The 14,965-nt window shown below is 37.0% G+C and overlaps 1 protein-coding gene across 24 annotated transcripts in view; it reads left to right on the forward strand.

Moving 5' to 3' along the window:
- The window catches only part of PTPN13 (protein tyrosine phosphatase non-receptor type 13), a 220,847-nt gene that overhangs the window by 33,960 nt on the left and 171,922 nt on the right, over positions 1–14,965 (forward strand). For 23 of the 24 annotated variants that reach the window (XM_011532165.3, NM_080685.3, XM_017008511.3 and 20 more), the window contains exon 2: positions 6,978–7,097. The exons of the other annotated variant lie outside the window; for it this stretch is intronic. In XM_011532165.3, the coding sequence (XP_011530467.1) occupies positions 6,983–7,097 (115 nt within the window). In that variant the 5' untranslated portion in view covers positions 6,978–6,982. The remainder of the gene's footprint in view (positions 1–6,977; positions 7,098–14,965) is intronic. 24 annotated transcript variants of the gene reach the window in all.

Genomic DNA, 14,965 nt, shown 5'->3' on the forward strand with positions numbered 1-14,965 from the left:
GCTATGTAGTCATATCTCATTGTTTTATTTTTATTTTCCTAATGACTAATGATGTTGAGAATTGTTTCATGTGCTCATTTGCCAGCCGTATATCTTCTCTGATGTCCATTCAAATCTAAAAAAAACTGGATTGTTTGGTTTTTTAATTATATATTCTGGATATAAGTCCTTTATCAGTTATATGATTTGCAGTATTTTTCCTTAGTTTGTGGTTCATTTTTTTTTTTAATTTTTTTTTTTATTATACTCTAAGTTTTAGGGTACATGTGCACATTGTGCAGGTTAGTTACATATGTATACATGTGCCATGCTGGTGCGCTGCACCCACTAACGTGTCATCTAGCATTAGGTATATCTCCCAATGCTATCCCTCCCCCCTCCCCCGACCCCACCACAGTCCCCAGAGTGTGATATTCCCCTTCCTGTGTCCATGTGATCTCATTGTTCAATTCCCACCTATGAGTGAGAACATGCGGTGTTTGGTTTTTTGTTCTTGCGATAGTTTACTGAGAATGATGGTTTCCAATTTCATCCATGTCCCTACAAAGGACATGAACTCATCATTTTTTATGGCTGCATAGTATTCCATGGTGTATATGTGCCACATTTTCTTAAACCAGTCTATCATTGTTGGACATTTGGGTTGGTTCCAAGTCTTTGCTATTGTGAATAGTGCCGCAATAAACATACGTGTGCATGTGTCTTTATAGCAGCATGATTTATAGTCCTTTGGGTATATACCCAGTCAGGACATAGGCGTGGGCAAGGACTTCATGTCCAAAACACCAAAAGCAATGGCAACAAAAGCCAAAATTGACAAATGGGATCTAATTAAACTCAAGAGCTTCTGCACAGCAAAAGAAACTACCATCAGAGCGAACAGGCAACCTACAACATGGGAGAAAATTTTCGCAACCTACTCATCTGACAAAGGGCTAATATCCAGAATCTACAATGAACTCAAACAAATTTACAAGAAAAAAACAAACAACCCCATCAAAAAGTGGGCGAAGGACATGAACAGACACTTCTCAAAAGAAGACATTTATGCAGCCAAAAAACACATGAAGAAATGCTCATCATCACTGGCCATCAGAGAAATGCAAATCAAAACCACTATGAGATATCATCTCACACCAGTTAGAATGGCAATCATTAAAAAGTCAGGAAACAACAGGTGCTGGAGAGGATGTGGAGAAATAGGAACACTTTTACACTGTTGGTGGGACTGTGGTTCATTTTTTAACAGTTCTTTCTTTTCAAATAGCAAAGATGTTTAATTTTGATGAATTCCAGTTTATCAATTTTGTTTTTCTAATCTGGGTCATGCATTTGTTTTCATATCTACAAAAACATTGGCTAACTGAAGTCACCATAATTTTCTCCTAACTTTTTAATGGCCTTCAAGACCTTATTGTGTGCAGAAAAGCTTATTGAAAATTATTTTTAAATGAACATTCTTATTACATTAAAAATTCTAAAACCTATGTCTTACTTTTTTTTTAATGGGGTCTTGCTCTGTTGCCCAGGCTGGAGTGGAGTGGTGCAATTATAGCATTGCAGTCTCCACCTCCCAGGCTCAAGCAATCCTCCCATCTCAACCTCTCAGGTAGCTGGGACTACAGGCACGCACCATCATGTTCAGCTAATTTTTTTAAAAAGCATTATTATATATAGAGACGAGGTATCGCTGTATTGCCCAGGCAGTCTTGAACCCCTGGACTCAAGTGATCCTCTCACCTTGGCCTCCCAAAGTGCTGGGATTACAGGCATAAGTCACTGCACCTGGCCATAGTTCTTAAGCTTTTAAGGTCAATTTAATTATTTTTTCTATTTATACATGCAGAAAATTTCAAGGGACCCTTTGAGTGTATAATCTCATTTTCAAATTTAGTCAGTTAACATCCCATAAACACTTTAAACTGCATTCATACAATTAAAAGCCAATTTTTAAAGTATTTCTTGTATCTGACTGACAGAAAAAACCTTCCCAAGTACCCAAATAAGTCTTCTAATGAATGAAAACTTATATAGTAAGACTTATGTATAGCAAGCCTTTAAGGGTCTCTTGTATGTTCCAGTGGCATTTTGTATGTTTTAAAATACAAGCCTCAACCATTTTCTCATTACACTATTTAAATTGGAATCACCATGCGAATCTGTTATTCTAACTCACCTATTTCTCCTAGCTAAGATACTATATATGTACAGATTCTTTAATTTTAAAAAATACTAATATATGGGCTGTGTCTCAAACTTTTCTATACTTAATTCTGAATCTTCCTGGATGAAAAGATGCTTACAATTTTGGGGTTGCCTTCTCAACTCACTGTGGTTTTTTAATGACCAAAGATGTCCTTAGCCTGGATGGTGAGTGAATCCTTGCTCAAACTAGTGGCATACACAGAGCTCCATTTTATAGCTGCTTTGTTCTTGAAACAGCATGTTTCTATTAGCCCTATTTCTTTAGATTCAAGTTAAACATTCCTAATTAATCTGTCTCCAGACAGGTTATTTTATCACTTGATTGGATTTAGTTAATCTGTTTACTGTTCATTCTGTTCTCAATCACTGGTATGTACTAGCTGTGCGTGCCACAATCCTTCAGGATTAAAATGACATCTGTTAGAATCTCCTTGTGGCTTTGTCTCTGTGAGCAGTTTTAAGGTCATGTCAGTAATACCTGTGTTAACCAAAAACATAATAATGATTCTGGTTATGTGATAGAATTAATTTTTCTTATTTGAAATTTTTTTCCAAAAACTTTCTAGTTATCATGCAGCATATAACCTTCAAGAGAATAAAAGTAAATAATATGGCTATGTTTATTGTAAAATTTAACCTTTGTGATAGGTTAATGTGATAACGTCTGTTATATATCTGTACTCCCAAGTTACCTAGTACTGTGTCTAAAGGAAACAATTGAAGCAATAGGCTTTAAAAAATTTTTGTAACTAATTCTGTCCTCATCTGTTGGTTGACTTCAAGCTTTTTTCCCTCCATTTTCTTTTTTCTTTTTTGCATTCCTCTTCAGCTTCTGCATTTCTTTCATTCCCTTGTTATCTTCGGAGCTAATGATCTGAAGTGCTATAACAGTAAAATAAACATGTGAGAGAGAAAGATGGTGCTAGTAGGCAATTTATAAGCTGATAGCTTTGTTGTTTGTTTTCTAGAAAGCTGCTGTAATACTACATTAAATTCTGACATTGGGTAATTAGAATGAGGCAGTTTTAAAAAAATCTTTAAGTTCTTGCCTAGCAAAGCTGTAAATTAAAAATATTAAATCTATTCTGATAGCTTGATGATAACTTTGAAAAACAAATGTTCCTTTCTATGTTTTGGAGTTCTAAGAAGTTCTAACCAGAAATGTTCATAAAGATCCCATATTGAATATACAAAAAAAGTTTAAATAAAAATTAACACGGTATTGATATAATTCGTACCCGATTCAATCAAGCAACAGAGGTATAATTAGCAATCTTTGTAGCTAGAAAAATTAATTGCTGAAAAAATTCTATTGTGTGAGAAGTTACTTTTAACCTTTTCATTTTTTTATTTATAGGGAATAATTATATTTTAAAACCCAATTTATTTTTAAAAAGTAAGGAAAAACAGTATCTTAAGATTTAAAACCTAGTCTGTCTCTTGTGCTCTCTATATATACACATAAATATATGTGTGTATGTATGTATAAAGCCAACATACTGGTTTTACAATGGGATACATAACATATCATCATAAGCAACCTAATTTTGTTCTCCTTCCTTTTGTCCTTCCATCCTTCCTTATATCACCAGAGGAAGTTCTGCCTCTATATAAAAACCCAGATTCATAATTCCCTCCTTGCCCTTTGGTAATACTAATGACTACAGTCACTTAAACTCCATAATTAAAAGTACCTAGTCAGTATATTAATCAACCTTTCAATGTCCATTCAGAGCTAAAACTTTTCCCTTCCCTAGCTAAGATTATCTATAGATGGAAGACAGTGTGATTAGCTTCTCTTTTTGTTGCTTATCTCCTCACCCACTGGCAAGTTGCTATATCTGACCCCATCAGGATCTAAACCAGGGGAAGGAAGAGAGAAAGCAAGGCAAACAGTTTTTGTTGTTGTTTTTCCCACACTCCTGTTGTGAAATTGCTTTACTGTTTTTGAACTTGATATGTGTTTAAGGCTGGCCCTTTTTCTTCGGTGTGCTTTTGTGGGTTCTTCACAATCCTTCACTGGAACTACACTACATGTGACACTCCAGAATTTTTCCCTCCAACTAGCCAGTAACCCCTAACCCCTCTAGCCCTCAGCCTAGTTTTCTTTCAGGCCATTCCACAGTAGAAATAATTCTAATTTGAATCCTTCTTCTTTCTCTTTCTCCTCTTCTTTCCCTTCTCTCCTTTTCCCCTCCTCCCCCTGCGCCTCCTCCCTTCTTCCTTTTTCTTGGTGGTGGTCTGGGTACTTCAGGTGGAACTCTGGGTAGAATTTTTTAAACAGCTTTTCGAGATATACTTCACATACAATAAAACTTACCCTTTAAAAAAATTCTTTTTAGTTTTTTAGAAACGGTCTCACTCTGTCAACCAGGCTGGAGTACAGAAGCATGATCATAGCTCACTGTAACCTCAGACTCCTGGGCTCAAGCGAGCCTCCCTTTTCAGCCTCCTTAATAGGTAGGACTACAGTAGGCACCACCATGCCCGGCTGATTTTATTTTTTGTAGAGATGAGGGTCTCCCCATGTTGTCCAGGCTGGTTTTGAACTTCTGGCCTGAAGCGATCCTCCTACCTTAGCCTCCCAAATTGCTGGGATTACAGGCTTAAGCCACTATGCTCAGCCTTCACCCTTATAAAGTGTACCTTTAGTTATTTTTAGAATTTTTGTGCAACCATTGCCACTATCTAAATTTTAGGACATTTTAATCCTCTGGGTAGGATTTCATATAGGTCCAAGCTGGCCCTCTGTGTGGCCGTGCTTCCTTGCCCCTCTCTTACCCTGAGCAGTGGAAGTATAGCTGGCTTCTGATACAGTATGTCTCCTCACTCTTGTGTGCCCTCCCTCTCCTGTCTACCTCATGTTGCTGCCTCAGAGTGATAGGCAACACCTTTAGATTCCTAAAGTGTGTATTAGGCACTGCCTGATGTGCCCTCCACTAACTCCAGAGAACATATATCAAGGACTCCCAGGGGTCCCATTAAAGCTTCTTTCACTGGCTTGAGGTGAAAGGAAGGCACCTTTCCACATCCCTCCCACTTTGGAGGAGACATGAAAATCAGCACACAACTCTCTTCAAAGAAATTCTTGTTCTATCTTTGCTCTACTCTTTATACCCTGAGTATATGCGTTAGAGCTATCTAACCAGTTCTCAGACATATTACTTTGGAAATTTGCTACAGGGTAGTCCTTCACACAAGTCATGTTGGTATCTGATTGCTAATATTATCTGATCCCTCTGTTGAAACTTCCAATTTATCAATATTTTTCATGTAGAAGATAACTCACATATCTTTAGAAAGGAATGAAGCTTCTACTTTTTTCTCTTGAATAAATATGCTATTATATAATAAAGTCAATGAGAACCTAGAGACTTTGGTGCAGGCAGGGGATCTAAATAAATAATCGCACTTCTTGTACAACCTAAGTAAAAACGCTTTTGGCTTTTTTAAAGCAGTATCTTATAGTTTCCTTTTAACTTTCACATTGTGTATATAAGTAGACACCCTGGAGGCAGACTTTAAGCATAAAATGTTTTAGTAAACATTTAAAAAGGAAAGTGAAAGGACAAGACTGGCCTCATTTATAGTTGGAATTGCTTTTTTCAGTCAGGATTAAGTACCATAAATGTAAATTAAAAGAAAATAGTAGCTTGTCTTGTTAGTTGAGTAAACAAAGTCAACTTTTATCTAAAACAGATGTTTTTATAGGTTAACTTTTAAACTCCTTATTTGGCTTCTTTTCCAAATCTGCTTCTCCCTTACAGTAGAAATATACTATATATGTTATGCTTAAATTGGTTTTGTCTGGGTAGAAATCTTATGAATCACTCTAAAGAACAATTTTCAAGCTGTGTCAATTTAGGAAAATTTATATAGAAGGATTTTAACTAGTTACATTTTCCTCTTTTAACATGAAAATAGGCTTATTAAGCCCCATAGAAAATCTTAAGTTTTATCAGTATATCATCACTTAACTGAACGCCATTGGAAAAATTGACCTGACAAAAATTTCAGCACAGACACTTATCTGATCTTTTATTAATTCACCTTCTGTAGAATCATATATCAAAGCATGTTCACAAGCATAGCCACTTCCCTTGTCATAGCCACCCAAAATGACATTTTTATTGTTACTATCATTCCTGTGTTACAATAGGGAAACAGAGGTTTAAAGGAAAAGTGACTCTCCCAGGGAAAATGGTGAGTTGCCAACAAAGCTGGGTCTGGAAATACTTAATTGCATTTAGTGCAAAATATACAGTTATAGTATATATATTGGAGATAATAGAAATCAACTAAAGAATGAAAGAAATGTGTTCCATCTTATTCCCAACTTCCCCTACCATGGCTGTAGGTTCTCCTCTCTATTTCTCTCTACTTTTATATCTGGGATGGATAGGATGAAACCTGGAACAGAAATCTGAAAGGCCTTCAGTTCAGTCTGACTGCTTTGGTTTATGATCTGTATTTTGGTGCCTCCTAGTACCCTGGGGTCTCTTCCTTTTTCCGTAAAGCAGTCACCACCCCCATTCTCCAGTTCTGTCTCTGAAGTTGACCGTGTTGGGCTAGGGCAAGTGGTTGTTTTGAGGGTTTTTCCCTCCAATTCCTTTACCTTCTGTGAGTTTAAGATAACATTTAGATTGGTAGCCATATTGAGAAATTAGGTAGACAGGGGGCTTATAGTCTGTCATCACTGATGTAGAGCTTTTACTACTGCAAGTATAGTTAAGTTGCTGATGCATAGACCATCTGTTACCTTTGTTTCCCAGGTAATATGCACGTGTCACTAGCTGAGGCCCTGGAGGTTCGGGGTGGACCACTTCAGGAGGAAGAAATATGGGCTGTATTAAATCAAAGTGCTGAAAGTCTCCAAGAATTATTCAGAAAAGGTAAGCTGCTGCTGCTGCTGCTGTTGTTGTTGTTGTTTCAGTATTGGGTACTTAAAAAACAGATACAGGGTCAGAGATTAGATTTTTGTTTCATTATTCCTGTGCCTTTGGCAGAGTATGAAAGGAATACTTTCCTTATCTCTTTTAGGGCTGAAAAAGCTCAGCTATTATCTACATTCATTTGAATATCTTCTATGTGCCCAATATTACACCAGGCAGCAAAAGTGTAATGGTGATTGAAACCGAAACAGTTCTTCTCAGTTTAGAGCTCACAGTTCAATGTGGAAAATAGCTATTAACAAAATATTTGGGCCAGGTGCGGTGGCTTACACCTCTGTTCCCAGCACTTTGGGAGGCTGAGGTTGGGGTGTCACTTGAGGTCAGGCGGTTGAGACCAGCCTGGTGAACATGATGAAACCCCATCTCTACTAAAAATACAAAATTTAGCCGGTGTAGTGGTGGGCACCTGTAATCCCAGCTACTCGGGAGGCTGAGGCAGGAGAATCACTTGAATCCAGGAGGTGGAGGTTGCAGTGAGCCAAGATTATGCCACTGCACTCCAGCCTGGGTGACAGAGTGAGACTCCTCTCAAAAAATAAATAAATACACACACACTCACACACGAACACATTTGTACTGTATAAACAAATGTAAAAAATGCAGCCATGACAAAGGCTAAAAAGGAGGGATTCAGTGACTCTCTGAGAACTCATAATAGGAGGATTTGACTTGATCATGGCACAGAAAAGGAAGGCTCTCCTACACAAGCTAAGACCCAAAAGAAAAGTTAACCAGGTGAGAGGGAGGGGAAAAAAATCTGGTAGAATAATATATGCATCCGTGTTACTCTAAATCAGAATGATATAGGGTCAACAAGTATTTTGGTGTTTCCCTGTGGAGGAGGTCACTTGGTCCAAATGGTTTTGCGGCATTGTGGAGTTAGAAAAGTTAGAATCATCCTTTGGTTGTCCAAAAACATTTGATATCATGCCAGAAGTTGCACATGAAGATGTTGTTTGCCATTCATAGCACCTGACCAAAACTTACTTAGAATAGTAGGTGAAAAAACCAAGCGTCATCTAAAGAATCAGTCTCTAAAATTGATTTGAATGCATACATCAGACACAAAAAAGCCTGACAGAAATAAGTAAGGATTGAGGGTAGTGATAGTTCTGAAAGTGTGGTACCAGCAACATTAGCATCTTTTGAAAACTTGTTAGAAATGAAGGCAGAAATAAAGATGTTCTTTGAAACCAACGAGAACAAAGACACAACATACCAGAATCTCTGGGACACATTCAAAGCAGTGTGTAGAGGGAAATTTATAGCACTAAATGCCCACAAGAGAAAGCAGGAAAGATCCAAAATTGACACCCTAACATCACAATTGAAAGAACTAGAAAAGCAAGAACAAATACATTCAAAAGCTACCAGAAGGCAAGAAATAACTAAAATCAGAGCAGAACTGAAGGAAATAGAGACTAAAAAAAACCCTTCAAAAAATTAATGAATCCAGGAGCTGGTTTTTTGAAAGGATCAACAAAATTGATAGACCGCTAGCAAGACTAATAAAGAAAAAAAGAGAGAAGAATCAAATAGACGCAATAAAAAATGATAAAGGGGATATCACCACCGATCCCACAGAAATACAAACTACCATCAGAGAATACTACAAATACCTCTACGCAAATAAACTAGAAAATCCAGAAGAAATGGATAAATTCCTCGACACATACACTCTCCCAAGACTAAACCAGGAAAAAGTTGAATCTCTGAATAGACCAATAACAGGATCTGAAATTGTGGCAATAATCAGTAGCTTACCAACCAAAAAGAGTCCAGGACCAGATGGATTCACAGCCGAATTCTACCAGAGGTACAAGGAGGAACTGGTACCATTCCTTCTGAAACTATTCCAATCAACAGAAAAAGAGGGAATCCTCCCTAACTCATTTTATGAGGCCAGCATCATCCTGATACCAAAGCCGGGAAGAGACACAACCAAAAAAGAGAATTTTAGACCAATATCCTTGATGAACATTGATGCAAAAATCCTCAATAAAATACTGGCAAACCGAATCCAGCAGCACATCAAAAAGCTTATCCACCATGATCAAGTGGGCTTCATCCCTGGGGTGCAAGGCTGGTTCAATATACGCAAATCAATAAATGTAATCCAGCATATAAACAGAACCAAAGACAAAAACCACATGATTATCTCAATAGAGGCAGAAAAGGCCTTTGACAAAATTCAACAACCCTTCATGCTAAAAACTCTCAATAAATTAGGTATTGATGGGACATATCTCAAAATAATAAGAGCTATCTATGACAAACCCACAGCCAATATCATACTGAATGGGCAAAAACTGGAAGCATTCCCTTTGAAAACTGGCACAAGACAGGGATGCCCTCTCTCACCACTCCTATTCAACATAGTGTTGGAAGTTCTGGCCAGGGCAATTAGGCAGGAGAAGGAAATAAAGGGTATTCAATTAGGAAAAGAGGAAGTCAAATTGTCCCTGTTTGCAGACGACATGATTGTATATCTAGAAAACCCCATCGTCTCAGCCCAAAATCTCCTTAAGCTGATAAGCAACTTCAGCAGTCTCAGGATACAAAATCAATGTACAAAAATCACAAGCATTCTTATACACCAATAACAGACAAACAGAGAGCCAAATCATGAGTGAACTCCCATTCACAGTTGCTTCAAAGAGAATAAAATACTTAGGAATCCAACTTACAAGGAACGTGAAGGACCTCTTCAAGGAGAACTACAAACCACTGCTCAAGGAAATAAAAGAGGATACAAACAAATGGAAGAATATTCCATGCTCATGGGTAGGAAGAGTCAATATCGTGAAAATGGCCATACTGCCCAAGGTAATTTATACATTCAATGCCATCCCCATCAAGCTACCAATGACTTTCTTCCCAGAATAGGAAAAAACTACTTTAAAGTTCATATGGAACCAAAAAAGAGCCTGCATCGCCAAGTCAGTCCTAAACCAAAAGAACAAAGCTGGAGGCATCACGCTACCTGACTTCAAACTATACTACAAGGCTACAGTAACCAAAACAGCATGGTACTGGTACCACAACAGAGATATAGATGAATGGAACTGAACAGAGCCCTCAGAAATAATGCCACATATCTACAACTATCTGATCTTTGACAAACCTGACAAAAACAAGCAATGGGGAAACGATTCGCTATTTAATAAGTGGTGCTGGGAAAACTGGCTAGCCATATGTAGAAAGCTGAAACTGGATCCCTTCCTTACACCTTATACAAAAATTAATTCAAGATGGATTAAAGATTTAAACGTTAGACCTAAAACCATAAAAACCCTAGAAGAAAACCCTTGGTATTACCATTCAGGACATAGGCATGGGCAAGGACTTCATGTCTAAAACACCAAAAGCAATGGCAACAAAAGCCAAAATTGACAAATGGGATCTAATTAAACTAAAGAGCTTCTGCACAGCAAAAGAAACTACCATCAGGGTGAACAGGCAACCTACAGAATGGGAGAAAATGTTCGCAACCTACTCATCTGACAAAGGGCTAATATCCAGAATCTACAATGAACTCAAACAAATTTACAAGAAAAAAACAACCCCATCAAAAAGTGGGCAAAGGATATGAACAGACACTTCTCAAAAGAAGACATTTACGCAGCCAAAAGACACATGAAAAAATGCTCATCATCACTGGCCATCAGAGAAATGCAAATCAAAACCACAATGAGATACCATCTCACACCAGTTAGAATGGCAATCATTAAAAAGTCAGGAAACAACAGGTGCTGGAGAGGATGTGGAGAAACAGGAACACTTTTACACTGTTGGTGGGACTGTAAACTAGTTCAACCATTGTGGAAGTCAATGTGGCGATTCCTCAGGGATCTAGAACTAGAAATACCATTTGACCCAGCCATCCCATTACTGGGTATATACCCAAAGGACTATAAATCATGCTGCTATAAAGACACACGCACACATATGTTTATTGCGGCACTATTCACAATAGCAAAGACTTGGAACCAAGCCAAATGTCCAACAATGATAGACTGGATTAAGAAAATGTGGCACATATACACCATGGAATACTATGCAGCCATAAAAAAATGATGAGTTCATGTCCTTTGTAGGGACATGGATGAAATTGGAAATCATCATTCTCAGCAAACTATCGCAAGGACAAAAAACCAAACACCGCCATGTTCTCTCTCATAGATGGGAATTGAACAATGAGAACACATGGACACAGGAAGGGAAACATCACACTCTGGGGACTGTTGTGGGGTGGGGGGAAGGGGGAAGGATAGCATTAGGAGATATACCTAATGCTAAATGACGAGTTAATGGGTGCAGCACACCAGCATGGCACTTGTATACATATGTAACTAACCTGCACAATGTGCACATGTACCCTAAAACTTAAAGTATAAAAAAAAAAATGCAACAGTAAAACACACATTAGAGACCTACTAAATAAGCAACTCTGGGGGTGCAGCCCAGCAATTTGTGTTTTAACAAGCCCTCAAGGACATTGTGATGCATGCTAAAGTTTGAGAACCATTTATAGGATAGAGTTTCTAAAGACCAGGAGCCATGGGAACCTTCTGGAAAGATGTAGGGATAACTACTGATTGAGTACAGGAAGGTCTAGAGACAGGGGAAGAGTGTTTGGGGACAGATGGTAAAGCTTTGTTGTTTTTGTTGTTGTTTTTTAATTCAGAGACAGGATTGTGAAAAAACAGTGTTAGGGCCCACACATCAGTGCTATAACCTTTATGTTTGATGATCTTTAATTAGAGTTAGGATTAATTTAAAGAAAATTTATTCATTTAATCTAATATCACTTAACCAAAAATCTGGGTGTTTTAAATAAACATTATTTCTTTGTTTGCTTCACTTTATTTTTCAGAAAATTTTCAGAAAATTGGAAAGTATAGACAGTCCAGAATATACAGGATGTAGCTATACTCCAAAGGTGTTATTGAAGGAAAGATATGTTGATGGCACTATTCAGTCAATTAATAATTGTCAATTAATATTTAAGAAATACCTTCTACTTGTGAGGTATTGTGTGGAAGATCCAAATAAGTAGGTGTCACTTTTGCCCTTAAGGGATTTGTTCAGATAAAAGACACAACTGCAAATTTACCACTTCAAAACAAAGTGCCAAATAAGTGACATAGACGATAAGTACTACAGATGTTCAGAGGAGGGAGAGAGAATACCTCTTTTTATTATACTAATGGCAGGATTACTGCCCAGGCCATGACTCACAGTATATAAAGCATCTTGCATACTGTAAGTACCTAAGGGTTTTTCCTTGTTTCACATTTCATAATGTTAATAGAGATCAAATGAATATAAAGGTGTTGTCACTGAGAGGCAATTATTGCATAACATATTGGCACATTATAATTAAAAGACTTACCAGATGTATTATAAAATTAATTGTGAGGTAGCTGTGTCTTAAATACTGTCCAGTAGGAGCTGGTTAGCATAAGGCCTCCAGTCTAATTCACAGAGTATTATCAGTAATACAGAGAGATTGAATTTGGTTTCTTTGGCAGTTTGAAGATTACCAATTGTTATGATTGCTAATTGGAAATTTCTATTTATTTGGAGGAAACAAATGCTTATTTGATTTAATTTGTCAGAAATTTATGATTTTTCATTCTTTGTATTTGATAACACAATATCTTTTTTGTATATTTGATCACACAATATCTTTTTGTCCCAAGTTCTTCTCCTGACTCTTGTAACGAATTGAAATAATTATTAGTTTTTTTATTTTATGGATGAATGGTGGTTGTCTTAGTTCTCTCTTAGAATCCTTATGCATAACACTGGGAGTGGCGGGGGGAAAATAGCAGGTAAAGTATAATGGTGTCCAAGAAGTTTATGTGTTTTTTTAAAATGCTTTCTTGTCAATGGCTTTTCCCCCTTATCATCTTGAACTTGTACGTTGTTCCTGTTTCTTTTTCAGAATATGAGTGCAAGCATGCTACTGACATTCCTATAAGAGGGGGCTGGAAATAAGCATTTCTACTGGGGTATTATTGAACAAAAGCCAAGAAAATTATCTGTTTCTTCATATTTTTGAGCCTCCCAGCAATCGAAGGCTTTCCATTTTTAAAAGCAAAATTGCTATGGTTATTATTCATAGGATAATGATATCTAAGCATGGCCTTGTTGAAAGACACCATCTTCAAATGAACTTCTCTTCAGAGGAGGGAAAATGTAAAACTTTTGATAATCATGCAATTCTAACATGTAGATGAAGGTGATGAAAGGTGGTTCCCCTTTTGGTGTAAGTTTCTTAGTTTTGTTGCCTTGTGGTTACTAAAACGTACAATCTGTATGACTACCCTGAGAAATCATGAGATAGTATTTTTTGAGATTTTCTTGTGATCTTACACATGATCTATCTTTGTAAATATTCTGTAGGCATTTGAAAAGAATTGTACTGTCTATTCCTAGGCTATAGCTTAAGCTCGTGAATGTTTGTGCTTACAATTTTTTTAAACTTTATTAGTCTGTATTCTTCATCTGTCAAATTCCTAGGGATAGTCAAAACTTCCCACTATGATTATATTTTTGTCTGTCTTCTTCTGTAGTTACATATTTTCGCAATTTTGTGTGATACATGTGATGGCTAATGACTAATATAAATGGACAAGATATTTTATTAATATAAAGTAAGTTTTTTTCTTTCTACAAGTCATTGCAATAAATTCTGTTATCTGCCCTTAATATGGCCACCTTTGCTTCATTTTTGTTGACACTTGCCTACCTTTCCTATCTCTAGTATAGCTTTCCTCCTTCCTTTATTTTCACATCCTTTATGCTATAATTTAGGTACTTTTTGTGAATGGTAGATAGCTAGATTTTTATTTTAACCTAGCTAAGGAGTTGCTTTTCTTCAATTAGGAAGTTAATTGTAGTTATTGAAATAAAAGTTCTGGGAAATTTTACTAAGAATCTTCCTGTGTTATGATTTCCCAGTTGTATGCCTTTCAGTTCATCTTTTCTTTTCTTCTTCTTCTTCTTCTTCTTTTTTTTTTTTTTTTTTTTTGAGATGGAGTCTCACTCTGTCACTCAGGCTGGAGTGCAGTGGTGCAATCTCGGCTCACTGCAACCTCCACCTCCCGGGCTCAAGCGATTTTCGTGTTTCAGCCTCCTGAGTAGCTGGGATTACAGGCATGTGCCACCACACCCGGCTAATTTTTTTGTATTTTTTGTAGAGACGGGGTTTCACCATGTTGGCCAGGCTGGTCTTGAACTCCTGACCTCAGGTGATCCACCCACCTCGGCCTCTCAAAGTGCTGGAATTACAGGCGTGAGCCACCGCGCCTGGCCCACTTCACCTTTTTAACTGATTGAGAATCCTAGCTTATGTCAGAAAAACATATATACATTTAAGATTTTAGCTTTTATATCATGGATGAATTCATGTAGGAGCTCAGTGTTCCTACATAATAAAAAAATGCTATTCTCCTGCTCTTTATGAATAATCTTTAGAAGTGAGGTTATTGCTACCTTGGAAAACTTAGCTTACAACTGTAGTAATTGTCCAAAACAGTAATTTTTTTTGTTATGGAACTGTTGCTCTCTGCAGAAAACAGCTCTTTCGAATCTTGAGGTTTTAGGGTGTTAGACTGATTGATTAGTCAGAGGAAGAGACTCAATTTCCCTCACTTAGGCAAGGATATAAATCCCTTTATAAGTAGTCACTTCTGGTTCCCTGTCTAATAAATAAAAGAATTAATGAAATGAGTAATTTCAATAAACCGTTAAAAAGATAATAGAATAAAGCATTTGATAAAGAGAAATATTAAAAACAA

The sequence above is a fragment of the Homo sapiens genome, chromosome 4, assembly GCF_000001405.40.
Source record: "Homo sapiens chromosome 4, GRCh38.p14 Primary Assembly".
Taxonomy (NCBI): Eukaryota; Metazoa; Chordata; class Mammalia; order Primates; family Hominidae; genus Homo; species Homo sapiens.